The 17,240-nt window shown below is 35.9% G+C and overlaps 1 long non-coding RNA gene and 1 pseudogene across 1 annotated transcript in view, besides 1 other annotated feature; one reads left to right on the top strand and one right to left on the bottom strand.

Annotated features, from left to right (window-relative positions):
* Positions 1,566-1,615: an enhancer, noted in NCBI's record as "active region_27817". NCBI's record gives its function as "activates an Ori minimal core promoter by ATAC-STARR-seq in GM12878 lymphoblastoid cells {active_cell/tissue: GM12878}" and the evidence as "EXISTENCE:reporter gene assay evidence [ECO:0000049][PMID:35858748]".
* LINC01609 (long intergenic non-protein coding RNA 1609) overlaps positions 1,662-17,240 on the top strand; it is a 137,243-nt gene continuing 121,664 nt past the window's right edge. The window contains exon 1 of the long non-coding RNA NR_125418.1: positions 1,662-1,783. This is a non-coding gene — a long non-coding RNA (long intergenic non-protein coding RNA 1609). The remainder of the gene's footprint in view (positions 1,784-17,240) is intronic.
* Positions 11,673-12,229, bottom strand: EEF1A1P37 (eukaryotic translation elongation factor 1 alpha 1 pseudogene 37; annotated as a pseudogene).

Raw genomic sequence — 17,240 nt, 5'->3', positions numbered from 1 at the left:
TGTGACATAAAAATGTTATGAGGCAAAAGGGTCTTTCAAATGTGTTAAGAATCTTGAGATGGGAATATTATCCTGAATTACTAGGGTGAGCCCCAAATACAATTACATGCACCCCTATAAGAGGGAGGGAGAGGGAGTTTTAACACAGACAGAAGAGGGGAAGGCAGAAGGCAAAGATAGAGGCAGAAATTGGAATGATTAAACCACAAGCCAAGAAATGCCCGTAATGACCAGAAATCCTGACAGCACTTTGATTTGGGATCACTGATACTGACTTCAGACTTTTAGCCTCCACTATAAGATAATAAATTTCTGTTGTTTTAAGTCACTAATTGTGCTAACTAGTTAAAGCAAACACTGGAAACTAATACAATGCTAATCATTAAAACTGCACTTAGAAAGAGATGTAAGGTTAGATGATGAGGGGAGCACATGTTTTCAACAAGGAAGATAACTGTGCATTTTCTTCAATAGCTGAGTTTTCAGCTTTAACACAGAGGACTGAGATATTCTGCAGGTATAGAGGTTCCAAGAGAGTCGGAGGTTTAATGACTTCTGAATACATTGACAAAGATAACTCTATATGAAGTCTCAGAGTCCCAATCCTTTCTATCAGGTCTCTGACCTCAGTGTAACATATTGCTAGCATTGAGAATACAGCTTTCTCTGGAGCTCTCCTTCTCTCATAATTAAGACTTAGCCATGATCCTGAGCTTTTCCTATGTTCCAGCTGTAGGAAATGAGTCTCTTTACATGCTGCCAAGGAGGCCATCTGGCTTTCACACTTAGGTTTTAATTGGAGATTAATCATCCCCAGACGTTCTGAAGCATTGAAGAAACTCAGCAGCACCCACTGGATTTTATAAAGTTAGTATTACTAATTCCTATAGAACTCTCAAAATCCTGAGCCATTGCACTTTCTAATATATTCCTTTCCACTGGTATTTCTTCTCAGTTAAACACCAACGGAAGTTTAATAATTATACCACTACCACAAGTCATACCCATGGGCTATTTATTAGTCAGTCAACTACCACTAACAGTAGGGTCTTCACAGCCAACCAGCCAGCAAGCCATCCAACCCCAAACTCCCATTTTAGAGTTGGCTACTTTGGTTGATTCCTGGCTTCAAATGTTTATGGTCAGGTTTCCTAGGAAAACAACTCTGACACACAGATTTACATACAAAACTCTTTTTTGTTTATTTTTTGGTCTTTTGTTTTGTTTTGTTTCGGGGGGAAAGAAGTGGTTTTCTTTGTCATCCTGGTCCTTAATAGTATTAGCCAAGGCTCCTCTCAGCTGCTCTCCTGCCCTGCTCTGCCCTCTACAGCCCTCTCTTGGAAGGACTCCCCTCTCCACCAGTAGAGGACGCCAATGTGACATGAAGGCTGCTGGGAAATGTAGTCCATGGTCTTAAAGGGTCTGCTCTGAGTCCCAGGAACCCCTCCTCTAGCTGCAGGATGGGCTTAAACCTTTTAAGCCTAGAATTTACAACAGTTTGGGGGCCTTTCTCTCTTGGTTCTTCAATTAGCCCTATCCAGAACACTTTGCAAAGCTTAAGGAGAGCCCAGGGCTGTTCACAACTTCCCCTTCCTCTAAGGCCTCCAGCACAGTGAGGTAATGGAATTGTGATTATGACATCATGGACAGTTCAGCTGCTTGCACTGGGGGAAAGGGAGAGTATCATGGTTACAGCTGGATCACCTAAGGCAGAGAGGGAAGGAACCAACAGGTATATGAAGAAGACTGTATTTCCTCCTCAGGAAGAAAAAATCACCTATAAGTAAGTCTCCACCACTGCCTCTCACTTCAACCAAAGTTTAAAGTACTTTTTAGAAGCCCTGAATTTAGATGTTAGAAGGTGAAGAGATTGGGGAACAACTAGATGGTTACTGGTTGTTATGTAAATTTCAATCTCAGCAAGCATTAAAGATGATTCAAAGAGATTGGCAAAATAATGGAAAAAGGAGAGGTTTTAAATAATGCCTTCATGTTGTGATTTCTTTGTAGGGCAGAATTTTAGATTTTTAATGTATTGGAAAGTAGTAATAATGCAATTAATTGTTATGGTTATATTTAGTAACAAAGTTCCTCAGAAACATCTGTTTTCTCTACATATTTTGTGTTTTACTTAAGACTAGATAGATATTTTGAACCCAGAAAATTTGAGACAGGTCTCAGTTAACTTAGAAAGTTTATTTTGCCAAGTTTGACGATACACACCCATGACACAGCCTCAGGAGGTCCTAATGACATGTGCCCAAGGTGGTCAGAGCACAGCTTGGTTTTATACATTTTAGGCAGACAGAAGACATCAATCAATACATGTAAAATGAACATTGGTTCAGTCCAGAAAGGTGGGAAAACTCAAAGTGGGGAGGGGTCTTCCAGGTTGCAGGTAGGTGAAAGACAAACAGTTGCATTCTTTTGAGTTTATAATTAGTCTTTCTAAAGGAGGCAATCAGATAAGCAATTATCTCGGGAGTAGAGGGATAACTTTTAAAAGAATGGAAGGTAGGTTTGCCCCAAGTAGTTCCCAGCTTGAATTTTCTTTCTGGCTTAATGATTTTGGGGCCCAAGATATATTCCTTTCACATTTCTTTCCTTTCTTTTTACAAATGTTTTGGATAAGGCATTTTAGAAGAAAATGATTCTTTGGTTCCAGGTTTTGTCTGTATCGCATGGCTAGAATGGTTTATTCCTAGGCAGGTAGGCCCTAAGTTATTAGGAAAGCTCATGGTTAGAAGGTTGTGAAGTCTCATGTCCTGTAAAGAGAAAATAGGGGGAGGAAGGGAGAAAAACAGTAACAAACTGAAGAATAATTCTGGAAAATCGATATAGGCCATATTACTCTGAAGTCATACATCAGTAGGCAGGTATGAAAGTGGCTTATATATGTAAGTAGGTTGCTGTTATTTTCTTCTGAATTTTAAGATGTCTAGCTTCAGTTCACAGGGCTTTAGGAAAGCACAGCTTAGTTTTCAGTGATTTCAAATCAGGAAAAAATGTGGGAAAAAGGAAAAGAAAGAAGAAAAAAGTGAAAATATTATTTTGGAGGCTTGTAGCCAGGAAAAATTAGAATTCAGCCGAAGCTGTAGAAAATAATAAAAATTGAAAAACATGAGGCAAGACTAGAATATAACAAGAGGTGTAATATAGTTTTTGAAACATGATCTTTCTGTCTCCAGTTTCCCATTTTTACTAAAGAAAAATCATAGTAGGGCTGATTTGCCTTATTATACTTGGACAGATTATTTGTATAAAGTACAGCAAGAATAATTATTTTTCATATAGAATTTTTTAAATTGGCTTTGATGGAACTTTGTTCCACAGAAAGAATCTCAGATAAGACTTTTTTAAAGCCAAGCCCAGCCATCGATTTCTACCATCAAATACCTACAAGTTGGGTGAATTTCCTCTACTCTTGGGGTTTCAAGATAAACTGTGGGCTCCTGGACCTGTCAGAAAGTGACATTCTTTACTTACTACAGGTCAGAAACCCTGTACAGGGACTGTGGAAACTATGAAGGCAGTCTTCCAAAATACTTTTACTGGCTCCATTAAGTCATTTGATTCTTTAAAGGAAAGCACACCATTCCAGTCAAAGGCTTGGTAAAAATAACCAGATTTTTCCAATTGTGTCCTGTTACAAATGGAAACAGATTTTTATTGCACTTATACAAATAACTGTATTGCCATAAGCTAAGAATACACACAAATAGTTTCCAAATTCTGGCAAAATCAGGGAGAAACAAATATGCTCCAAAGTTTATTCATAGGATTTTAATACATTGTTAAAAGCTGTCAATAGCTCAAAAGTTTTAAGACCCTGAAAAACAAAACAAAGCAAAAAGTCAAAAATATTAGTTCAGTTCATGCAGTTAATTCCTGTTCTGCCTGATATTTGTGAATATTTTAGCTCTCCATCAGTCTTAAAAATGTTTCCTCTATTCTGATATCAAAATCTCCAAAGTTATCAGAAACCTGCATTCAGGAGCACCTGTTACAGTTTAATAGCTGATTATAAAACCACCTTCTAAAGAGTACCAGAACAACCCAACAGTTGTCCAGGGATGACAAAAAGTTTTAGGGCAGCCATAGTCAAAGGCACAGTTGACAAGAAAATCTGTTACCTCTGTGGCACACAATAATTTTAACATAACAATTATGACTATTACTTATAATGTACATGTCATATGAGAATTACAGGAGTTTCCCATAATTTGGCAACACATACCAATAACATATTTATACTAATACAGCCCAAAGAAAACCAAATGCCATTTCATATTTGACAATGCTTCCTGCATAATTTTTGTACCCAATAAGCCAAATGATGTCATTTTTGGACTTTATTAAACCTAATATCTTAAAGGATTAATTAGGTCAGAAAAAGACATAATTTATAACTTGATTTGGGAAAGTCTGTCAAATATCAAGGGTTTAAAAGACTTGATTTCACAAAATAGGATTACTATTCTGTAAGTAAGCCATTCATTTAACCAAAGTGATAACTCAAGGATTTCAAAAAAAAGGTGAAAACCTTCATTCTTTGAGAGAGGAGACTTAATTTTCCAAACAATAAGCCCTAATAAAAACATCATGAAGGTAATTAACTTTCTTTTTCAAAATTTTACCAATTATATAATTTTAATCTTGACCATAAGACATAACTTCCATAAATCTTTGATAACCTTTATAACCTTTATTAAGGAATTGGTTAATGCTTAAAGAAAACCTTGTTAATCTGACATAGGGGCCCATATACTGTTTTTGCATCAGTGTAATTTGACATTGATGATTAATTTAGAGAGAAACTGAATTTATTTTATCTTTCAAAATCAGCCCTTACAATCTCATGTGCCCACCTCTTCCACTATAGCCCCTGGGCCTTGAGGAGTTGAATAGCTTTAATTTCTGGCCCTGTGTCTCAGGAATGCACTATAGTTTGATTGGCATCTTCTACAGGACCTGAGGATGAGGCTTTAATTGCTATCAGTATTTAAGATTTAGTAGGTCTTGGTGTCTTTTTTATACCCAGGTGTCAAAGCCCTGTAACTCAATGTCATAAGAACTTTAAAGGCACATATAGGAAGATACATGGATGTAATAACTTTAATTAAAAAATATATACATGTATCTTATTTTTTCCTAAGCAAACCAAACTTAATAATAATGGTATGGTAATTATCTCAATAAAACATAAAATCTGTTAGGCCAGTTACCAAAAGGCAAAAGAAAAGACCTCCTTTACTGCACAGAATATTATGTTGGAAGAAAACATTTCATTTAGATCTTTAAAAAAATAGGCCTTTTACATTTGATTTTAGGGGATCTAGAACTAGAAATACCATTTGACCCAGCCATCCCATTACTGGTTATATACCCAAAGGATTATAAATCATTCTACTATAAAGAGACATGCACATGTATGTTTATTGTGGCACTATTCACAATAGCAAAGACTTGGAACCAACGCAAATGCCCAACAATGATAGACTGGATAAAGAAAATGTGGCCTTATACACCATGGAATACTATGCAGCCATAAAAAAGGATGAGTTCATATCCTTTGCAGGTACTTGGATGAAGCTGAAAACCATCATTCTCAGCAAACTAACACAAGAACAGAAAACCAACCACCACATGTTCTCATTCATAAGTGAGAGTTGAACGATGAGAACATATTGACACAGGGAGGGGAGCATCACACATCGGGGCCTGTTGGGGTTTGAGGGGCTAGGGGAGGAATAGCATTAGGGGAAATACCCAATGTAGGTGACGGGTTGATGGGTGCAGCAAACCACCATGGTACATATATACCTTTGTAACAAAACTGCACGTTCTGCTCATGTACCCCAGAATTTAAAGTATAATTTAAAAAAAGAATTAATAATTAAAAACCTTATGAAACAGAAAAATAGGCCTTTTAAAAGGGGCGAGAAAGCTGAAAAACAATAAAAATTGAACTTTCGGTTAAAAAGATTGGAATCTCATTATTTATTAAGAGTGGATCGGCTTCTTAAGAAAATTTCATTGTTCCAACCAATAATTTAGTGTATAAGTGTGTTTTTTTACATCAAGCCCAATCTCTGGACAGAGCATTATAATTTCCCTTTAATTATAAACAACTTGATCATATTCAAGTTTTCTTTTTTTTAATAAATTGTCTCATTGTGGCTTACACAGACCATTCCTGACATTCTTAGATTTTATGGTTTGTCCTTAACATCCCTCTTTCGTTTTTTTTTTTTTTTTTTTTTCCGGCTCACTACAAGCTCTGCCTCCCGGGTTCATGCCATTCTCCTGCCTCAGCCTCCTGAGTAGCTGGGACTGCAGGCACCTGCCAACATGCCTGGCTAATTTTTTTGTATTTTTAGTAGAGATGGGGTTTCACCATGTTAGCCAGGATGGTCTCAATCTCCTGACCTCGTGATCTGCCTGTCTCGGCCTCCCAAAGTGCTGGGATTACAGGTGTGAGCCACTGTGCCCAGCCAACATCCCTCTTTCTTAAACAACCAGTCGTTTTAGGACTAAATTTACTATATAAGATTTTTTTTATATATAAAATTATTTCTCTTTAAGCTTTCTTATCACATCAAAACCTCTTTATTTTTATAATTTTCTTTACATCTCTCTTATTTTCTGGTTCCTTTACTTTGTTTCCTACATAAACTTTAAGCTTTGGATTAGACAAAACTTGTTCACCCTTTTTAAAAAGGACACACTTTTTTTTTAAGAAGAATGTTTTCCCAAATTTTCATTGGAAAACACCCAAAAAATGAAATCTCTATTATTTAATTAATGTAAATTTATTCTAATTTATGATGTTTGTCTGCAAGTATTTATCCCATTACATTTACTAATTATTTTATTTTGTTTACCTAGATTATTTATGAAAACTGCAATAGTCATCATTTAAAGTTATGGGACCACCATTGCAAAGTTATAACTGAGACACTGAAAAAGATTTGACCTAACTGAATCCATCTTGCTTTTAACCTCCAAGCTGTGTTTGTTCATTCCTGAGCATAGGCTGGACTAACATTGGGGGGAATTTAGTTTATAGTTTAGTCTGAAACAAAGATGATAACAGTTCTTTCCCCAGAAAAACCCTCCTTATTGCCTGTGTAATAGACTGCCTAAAGTCACAGTATTAGAAGTTATAGTAATCTCACTAAATTCAAGGTGTAGCTATTTTCATTAAACCAATATCAATGTCTTATTTATTAAAAATTACACAGCAAAAATCATTCTGTATTGGACTGGGTTTATAGTTTTGTTACTCCTATGCCAAATTTTGACACCTTATAGTATTTGGCAGGGATAAATATGAAATTACTTGATTAATAAATGCAACCAAAAATTGTATGCTGGCAATTCTTAAGACATTTCTAATATTACTTTACGAACAATTTTAAAGCTAGCTTATTTATTAAGGATTTTACTTAAGTTACATAAACTTGAAAAAGCATTTGACTAGTCTTTTTTTTTTCCGGTAAAGTATTTGATTCAAACACCTTTATTTTCTTAAGCCAATTAATGAGAATTCTTTACATATTTTCAGTAGTGAAACTTTGTGTACACAGCACATAAATAAATAGATGTATTAGGTATGCTGATACAAATACATCTTATAGATTCTTAAGACCTCCTTTTTTTTTTTTTCCTATCTTAGACTTGCAAACTCTTGATAACCTGTTTCCTTACCCTGGCAGTTGTCAGCTAAACAGGCTAAATCTGCATATTAAAGGAAACAACTTAGGAGAAAATCAGATAGCACAATTTACATGATAGTATCAAGAGAAACTCTGGTGAGCTAGAGGGAAATTAAAACAAATTTAATTGCCAATTGAACATAAAATTATAGAAGTCTATTATAAAGGCCTTCAAATATATATATATACACACACACATATACATACACACATACACACACACACAGATTCTGTAGCTTTTTCTTCAGTACTTTAGCCATGAGATAAATATAAATTCACCAACTTGGAAACAAACAAAAAAAACAACCTGTTAGTTCCAAAGAGTGGTTTTCATCTCAGTAGAAAAGTAACAGCAGATTTAAAACAGGCAGAAAAGAAAAATAGAGAAAAAGAGAACCTGGGAACTGTAGTTTCCAGGTGGACCTTAGGGCTCTTTTTCCTTAATGCAAATGTACACAAACACCATATTATTTCCATTTTACCCTGGCAAGCAGAGCTGCCCTGAAACCTACAGAGTGCTCGAAAGGGGGAGGGTCATTCTCCTTGTTTTCTTTTCATTCTTAGATTATTTCCCACTTTTTTATTCCTTAAAAGGAGAAACTTAGCTGTGGCCTAGGGTTTTTGTGTGGTAGATCGGTATGTGCTGCTTGTGGGCAGGACTCAACCATGTATCACTGCTGAGTTGTTTCCACCCTCTTACATGTCTCAGTTACTCTCTCTCCAGATGTCTATGAACTCTGAGAGGGCTCAAAACACCAGGTGATCAGCCCTTATATGCATTTCCTAGACCAACCATTTTGAAAATTATTTTTTGTTGGGGATTTCCCTGCATGGCCACTGCACATGGCAGGGGGTCAACCCTCAGACATTCCTATGAGGCCCCCAGTCACTCAGGGATACCTTTCAGCTGGGAGAAGCAAATGCCCTTTCTCTTCAAAGCTAAGAAAACCCAAGTCTCTCATTAATGTGTGAAAACAACAGTTCAGTTTCTCATGCAAATATGCACAGACAAACCAAATTAAGATGAATTTTGGGAGAAAAAGCAATAGCAAAGACCCTTTAGAATGCACCTCCAAGCTAGAATTAGGATCCTCAAACAACAACTTCCTAGGAGAGAAAAGAAAAAACAGCCAAGACCACTTCCTGCAAACTGCTCATCCACCCGTAACTTTGTAGCTCTTGTCTGCCATTATCTATGCCAAGGTCAAATCCTCTCACAGGGCGAAGTCATCCCTGTTACCCCAAGCGAAAAAGATCAGGTCATGCAATACAGAAAAACAGATCTTTAGACCTAAAAAGAATCTTCCCATGACTCTAGAAAACTCCCCAAAGAAAACATAACACCCCCAAAGAGGATAAGTAGTGCCTTCGTTCTGAATTCTTTAAAGGGGTTCAAGTCATTAGAAGCCTTCTCTAGATTTTTTGGTACTGCCAATAGCAAAGGGGGAAGGAGGTATTGGGTGGAATAAAAGTAAACAAAAGAGCAATCTTTTTTTTTTTTTTTAAGACAGGAAGCAAACACAGAAACCAAGCACATGCTTTTTTGTTTTCTCTTTTTTTTTTTCCTTTTGCAGCTGCGATGAATTTTAGCCAAATTCAAGAGGCCTTGAATTTGAAATTGTCACTCAGATTTGACTAAGTCAGGTAGAGTTGGTCAAATCTGATGGGAGAAAGACCAGAACAAACAACAACAACAAAAATCTCAACAATATGATCACTGGGTGCTCCAATGGTAAGGAGAAATTGAGACCAGCTGGTTGTTAATCTTAAGTTCAGCCAAGACAAACCCCAATTCAGTTACTTACTTAGCGATGAGTCTCAGGCTAAAGACTGCTCTCTACCATCCTAGAAGCAGGGGAAAAATATAACGCATCTTTCTTCCTGGAAGCAAGCTCAAACTCCATAAAGGAGTTGCCTGCCTTCCATCATCATGGAAGCAGGAAAAACTTGCCTTCCTTGTGTTGGAAACAAGAAGAGCTCCAAAAAAAAAAAAAACAAAAAAAACAAAAGAGGAGCTGTACAGCAAAATCAACTTTAGATCTTGAACAGATTTTGGGAGATCAGGGATTCTCTGGAGGGGGTGCTCTCAGACCTCAGCAAATTGTCCTCTTGGTTTGAGCCATAAAGTTAGCTCATGCTGGTATCAAGCACCAATAGATCTGTCAAAGGTCAGGGGAGCATCTCCACTTAGAATTACTTTGTGGTTGCCAAATGTGAACCCCCAAAATTCGAGATAGTCTCAGTTAATTTAGAAAGTTTATTTTGCCAAGATTGAGGACACATACCCACAACACAACCTAAGGAAGTCCAGATGACAGGTGCCCAATGTGGTCAGAGTACAGCTTGGTTTTATACATTTTAGGGAGACATGAGAAACCCATCAATATATGTCAAATGAACATTTGTTCAGACCAGAAAGGTGGGACAACTTGAAGTAAGGAGGGGACTTCCGGGTCACAGGCAGGTGAAAGACAAAAAGTTACATTCTTTTGAGTTTCTGATTAGCCTTTTCAAAGGAAGCAAGCAGATATGCATTTATTTCAGTGAACAGAGGGATGACTTTGAATAGAATGGGAGGCAGGTTGGCCCTAGGCAGTTCGTAGCTTCAGTTTTCCTTTTAGCTTAGTGATTTTGGGATCCAAGATATTTTCCTTTTATGTTGTATATCCATGATCAGCTAGAAGGTAGATCCGGTGGGGGGATTCTTCCTCACTTGAAGGAATAGAGGAGGCAGGAGTCATTGAATCTGCAACTGGGGTGGAAGTGAGGGTCAGTCTGTTTAGGCTAGAGAGTTTCTTTCTGTCATTAAACTTTTGTTTTAATGGGTTTCAAAATTCTGTGATAGATTTTTGATCAATTGTTTTTATTTCAGAGGAACTGGTTTTAAAAACTAGTATTTAAAGCTACCACTCTCTTCTGCACACACACACACACACACAGACACATACACATACACACACACAGTCTAGTAAACATTCTCCTTTCTTCCTGAACATTTTATGATGCTTTGTTATCATTAACCAGTTAAGTTTCAATGGTCAGTAAAGACAAACAGTTCTGAGATATTTCACTGATTACAACTGGGGTGGCAGGTGTTACGGACAATATTCATTAGGCTTCTGAACTTTCTAAGCAGACTTGGTGACATTGCCAGCTCTAGCAGCCTTCTTGTTCACACTTTGATGATGTTACTGAACCCTGATTTGGATGCTTGCTGTTCAAAAGAGATATGTGACACAAGAGTTGGTGACAGAAAAAGCAGGTTCATTCAGAGAGCCAGAAAACCGAGTACCATATTAAATCAGTACAAATTTCAGGCTCTTTTTATGTTAAGGGAAGGGAAAAGAGAGGGAGTTTGGTATTAAGAGGTGACCACTGACTACAGATATCTGGGTCCCAGTGAGAGTCTGAGCAGGTTGGGAACTTCTTTCTCCTTGGTCAGGTCTCAATGTTCCTATAAATGTTTAATAAAATATAGTTGTTTAAGGCCAGGTGCGGTGACTTGCGCCTTTAGTCCCAGCACTTTGGGAGGTCGAGGTGGCCAGATCACCTGAGGTCAGGAGTTTGAGACCAGCCTGGCCAACATGGCAAAACCCCATCTCTACTAAAAATACAAAAATTAGCCAGGCGTGGGTGTGTGCACCTAGAATCCCAGCTACTCGGGAGGCTGAGGCAGGAGAATTGCTTGAACCCAGGAGACGGAGGTTGCAGTGAGCCAAGATGTCACCACTGCACTCCATCCTGCGTGACAGAGTGAGACCCCATCTAAAAAAAAAACGTTGTTTACATACTTCTCCTTTAATTCCAGAGTTAGTTTTAAGGGCTGCATTGCACTTTTTATATATTATTTCACTGATCTAAAATTATGTTTACATGCAAAAATAGGTAAAAGCCTCTCAAACAAAACAGTGTTATGTTCTTTTACTGTTTCACTGTTACAGTGATACCCACAGGAAGTGTCTGCTTCGTATTATAAACAGCAAAATAACCTAGAGAAGGATATTCAGACATGTTTTCAATACACATGGGCTAGCCAAGAACCCTATCAATGATGGCAGCACCAGCAGATTTCAAGAATTTGAGGCCATCATTCTGGTTTCTTGCCAGAATGATGACCAGCCTTCTTCAGCTAAGCAACCTTGCCAGCAATGTGAGCTATGTGGCAAAGACAGCACTGATTTGGCCTAGATGGTTCGGGATAATCACATGACCAGTGAAGCCAGCTGCTTTCACTGAGGCATAATTTTTACTGTTACCAGCCACTTTCCTGTAACAAACATATTTCACAGAAATGTTATTAATATTGAAGCCCTTTTGTCCACAAGAAGAGCTTCTCTCAAAGCTTCCTGGTGCATCTCAACAGGTTTTACTTTGGATGTAACACTAAGGAAAGCAAAGGTGAACATGATATTAGGTTTAATAATTCCAGTCTCTCCTAGGACCACAGGGACAGTACCAAGTCCATCAATTTTGTAAACATCCTGGAGGTGCTGATGCTAAGTCTTGTCAGTTAGTGGGCAGAGAAAGAAGTTGAATTTTATTATTGTCTCCCAAGCCGAGTTGTCTTACATCAAGGCCCACCATGATCCATGATCATAGGTGTCTTTGTTGCTCATCCAAGTGTGTATTTTAATTCACACATTTGCTTGAATGACCAATATTTATAACTGTAGTCTATGGAGGTTGTGTTTTACTTAGTCAACTTGCAGTAACCAGGAATTCCATTAACAGTATATCTATAAAGGTGTTTATCTGTGTTTGATCTATTGACTCTCCTCAGAAACAGAATAAATGGGCAGTCCTAAAATTAATTTGGAGATTATATGTCTATTTAATTAAACCAATTAAAGTTACTCTTAGTGCTTCTGTAAGAGTCACAACCAACAAGGCTATGCATACCTTAATTCATACTCCTCCACGTTTACTGAAGGTCAAAGTTGATAACCAGAGAAGTTTATGGCATTTACATAATGGTCCAGGACTACCATCTATGACAAACCTAGACTTAAGTTGATTGGACTCTACCACAGCTATAAATGATCTTATTCTAGATTAAATTAAATTTGTCTAATCTTAATCTGGAAAAATATTACAATTGAAAAAAATTTGATGGGTTAAAGAGTTGGAAACAAATCCACAAACAAAGCCATATAAACTACATAAATTTGTGACTAATCAGAAACTTTGAATGGTGGATACTCAGGTGATAGATAAAAATATGTAGATCTTGAAAAACTGGGTCTTTGTCTTTATTGGAATGAAATGAACTTGTTTCTGGGCTTTTTCTACAATTATGCCACTGATCTGTTTATCTTCATGCCCACCCAAAAAAGCTTTACATTTTAGGCCAGGCGCAGTGGCTCACGCCTGTTAATCCCAGCACTTTGGGAGGCCGAGGCGGGCAGATCACGAGGTCAGGAGATCGAGACCATCCTGGCTAAAGCGGTGAAACCTCGTCTCTACTAAAAAAATACAAAAAATTAGCCGGGCGTAGTGGCGGAGGCCTGTAGTCCCAGCTACTCAGGAGGCTGAGGCAGGAGAATGGCGTGAACTCGGGAGGCGGAGCTTGCAGTGAGCCGAGACTGCGCCACTGCACTCCAGCCTGGGCGACAGAGCGAGACTCCCTCAAAAAAAAAAAAAAAAAGAAAAAAAACGCTTTACATTTTATTGTTTGTAATATTTCTCTATCTGGCACACTTTCCTTGGTTTTCTGCAGGGTAATCTTAGACTTTAAATGTTCTTTATTTTTTTCACATTTTGAATTACCTAGTCCAGTTTCATGAAATACCCTATTGGAATTTTGAGTGTTTATTTTCATGAACAAAGTGTATCATTTTATGTATGTTTCTTTTCTATATTTTTAAATAAATTATATACTTTGATTAAAATAGTGTTATTCCATATTATAAAAGATTAATTTTATGCATATATTTTATTTGCTGTTCTATTTAATTTTTACTTTAACTATATGTGAAATTAATTTATTTTAATGGCTCTCTTAAAAAGCAAGCATTTAACTTTTAGTACTCTGTTACTACATATATATTTTTAAAATAGACAATAATATTACTTAAAATATATGTTTATTTTCTTCCTTTATAACATATATATTTTATATCTTATTTATACGGTTGCTTATTTATTTGTTATTAGTATTTGTTTATTGTGTTGGCTAAGAATTCAAAAACAATATTGAAGACATGGTGTCAATATGTGTATCCTGGTCCTTGAATTTGCTATAAATAACAATTATGTTGTCAGATTAAGGATGATCCTTTAGTTTTCTATGCATTTTTAATCTCAAATGGATCTTTCCTTTTAAAATATTTTTAATCACATAATTTATATATTATGCTATTGTGAATTACTCTAATATGTTTAGTCAAATAGTCTAAAGGATATGTTAATGCCATGAATCTCATACCCATGATTTTTATCAAATAATTTTTAACATTTTGTTATCACTATGGATTATGTTAACATGCTTGTTTTTTATATTGTTGAGATTGTACAAATATTGAATTTCCCAATCAGACTCTCATGAATCAGAAATCTCAGTCAGTATCAAAGCTTAGCAAATAAGCACCAGCTTATCTGAAACAGGGAGAGGGCCAGGACTTAACAGCATGACTCCCTAGCTGTTTTCTCCCCTAATGTGATGTGCATTGGCCTACACTAAAATATAAATTTCTAAATAAGGTGGGCAGTAACAACACTGGTATAGAAGGCAGGTCATGAAACATCTCTATTTTATACTCAGTTATTGGCTTACATGACATTTCCCACAAAATCATGTCTCATAAACTCATGTATTCTAGACTTATTTACTATAAGCAATCCTTGACAAATATGTACATCCTGCTAAAAGCAAATGATTAGTTTTTTTTATTTCCCCAAAACGTTTATTTAGTAAAGGAATGAAAAGATTGCTGATCTGCTGCTACACCCGCAGTTAAATTCATGTCCCCATTGCAAATTATCATGTATAAAGTAAACACAATGCCAACAAAAAATTTGAACACAATTTTTACAAGTGAGTTATCATGTAATAGCCACCCAGGTTCAGAAATAGAACATTGACTGTACCTTGGAAGGGCTCCTTTCTAATAACAATCCTAGTCATCACTGAGAGGTAATATCTAATCTAATTTTTATGATAGAACTCCTGTTTTCCTTATAAAATTATCAGCTGGGCCCACCTTCCTAAATAATAGAGTTTTATTTTTCCTGGTATTGAAATGTATTTATATGGATTTTATATAAATCTTATAAATTGATTTTTATAAAAAATATGAAATTATGTTATTTTATTTTTTATCATTCTTCTATCTCATTATATTTTATATTAATTCAGGTTGTTACATGTTTTTGTGTTTAGTTATATCCACTAATGAATAGCATTCCATTCTATGACTCTTCCAAAATTTATTTAAGCGTGCAAATAGGCCTTTGTGGTACCTCCTAGTTTGGTTTAATATGGGGAAAAAACAGATTGTGTATTATGCAGAAGCATGTATGGTCACGTTTTTCAAAAAATGTTGTAAGGTATATACTTCTTGGTTCACATTTGTTAGAAAATGCTGAAGTAATTTTTTAAAGAACCTTTCATATCTCTCCCATAGGGGAATATGGAAGTTCCATTGTTCTATTTCTTAAAAAGTAAATAAACAACAACACTAACAAGAAAACATTCAGTGTTGGCAGTCTTTACGAACTTTAGCCATTCCTAGCTGTATAATGGCATCATATTGTGTACTAATTTAAATTTCTTTCATTTATACATTTGAGCACATTATCTTATAGCTACTGTCCATTTGGATACCTGCTTTTTTCTGGAGGCCCTGTTCCAGTATCTAATTTTTCTATTACCTTCTTTCTTTTTTTTTTTTTTAATTTTACTTTAAGTTCTGGGATACATGTGTGGAAAGTGCAGGTTTGTGACACAGGCATACCTGTGCTGTGCCATGGTGGTTAGCTGCACCTACCAACTTTAAATTTTGTTTCTTTCTACTGATGTATTGAGCTACTTAAGTATGCTCGATAGGAGCCTTTTTATTATGCATCTTACATGTCTCTCACAATATGAATTACATTTTCAATCTCTTAATAACTCTTAAAATCATGAAGCTATAAACTTCTATTGTCATTTATAAACACTGTTGAATCTTCCATATTTACATGTACAAATTGAATGGGAACTGATGGTGGGCTATAATATTCGACAGGCATTAAGACTCTTTTCTTTCCACATGGTTACAGAGCAAACAAATAACAGGCATTGAAAAGATGACACTTGCCCTGCTTCCCTGAAGTGCCACCTTTGTTGTAAATTATGTGCCCATATGGGCACGTGTCTACTTCTGTGTTCTTTTCTCACCTCTGTTGAGCCTTGTACAGGTAACATTGTACAAATATCAAAATATCCTGTCTTAATCATTCTGGCTTTACAATTACTCCTAGTATCTGATAGAGCACGACTTCTTAAATTGAGCGTGTATACATTTCATCTGGAGTTCTTGCTAAAATGAAGATTCTGATTAAATAACTGTTGGTGGAGTCTGAAGTTCTGCATTTCTAAAAAGCTCCTACGAGATGCTGATGCTGTATAATCATGGACCTCACTTTGATTAATGAGGCAATGAAGTCAGTCCTCCAAAGATGTTCTTTTTATTTCAGTTTGCATTAATTATTCTGGCTTTTATGCATTTCAATTTAAATATTGTTATCAGTTCATCAAGTTTTGGCCCCTAAAAAGCTACAGCCAAGTAGCAGTGGCAGCAACAAAAACAACAACAAACTTCCACGGGAAATTATATTTGAATGTAATTGTGTCAATAAATTAATTATAGGAAATTGACAGTTATAAATTACCGAGTTTTCCAGTTAAGGGACACAATTCATATCAACAATAATTCACTTATTTTACTAAGTGTTTTATATGTAACAATTTTGCAATTCATTAGATTTTCTTCCCTAGATTTTTATATTATTTATATGGCATACTTCTTAAATTTTGTGTTCAGTGCTGGTATGCTATCATGTATTTTTTTTATGTTGTTTTCTCTGGTCTTTCTGATATGCTACCTTAGAGCATTAAAACTATTAACTAAAACACATTAAACAGTGTAAAATTGTATGCAATTTATTTTACTGGCTTCTTTTATACTTGTTCATATATCAGAAAAATTTTTCTCAACAGCAAGGCAACTATTGATAAGGAGTTACAACCTTTACACAGTAGACTCTTCATTTAAATTTGAATCATAGAGGTTACTTCTTTTCTTGTCATCACCTGTTTAGTTTATGAACTAGATACATTCCAGTTGCATTAATGTTTAAAAGAAAAAAATTATTAATTTAATTAAATATTTCTTCTGTCCTTGAATACTTGTACAGAATAATGTACTCTAACAACAGTTAAATATTAGATGCATATTATTGTTGAATCATTTTATTTTGATTGACATAAAGATACATCAACTTGCAAATGATGGCAGCAGTGATGCTTAACTCAATAGTCTT

The sequence above is a fragment of the Homo sapiens genome, chromosome 8 (genome assembly GCF_000001405.40).
Source record: "Homo sapiens chromosome 8, GRCh38.p14 Primary Assembly".
Taxonomy (NCBI): domain Eukaryota; kingdom Metazoa; phylum Chordata; class Mammalia; order Primates; family Hominidae; genus Homo; species Homo sapiens.
This window is presented reverse-complemented; position numbering and strand designations above follow the sequence as displayed.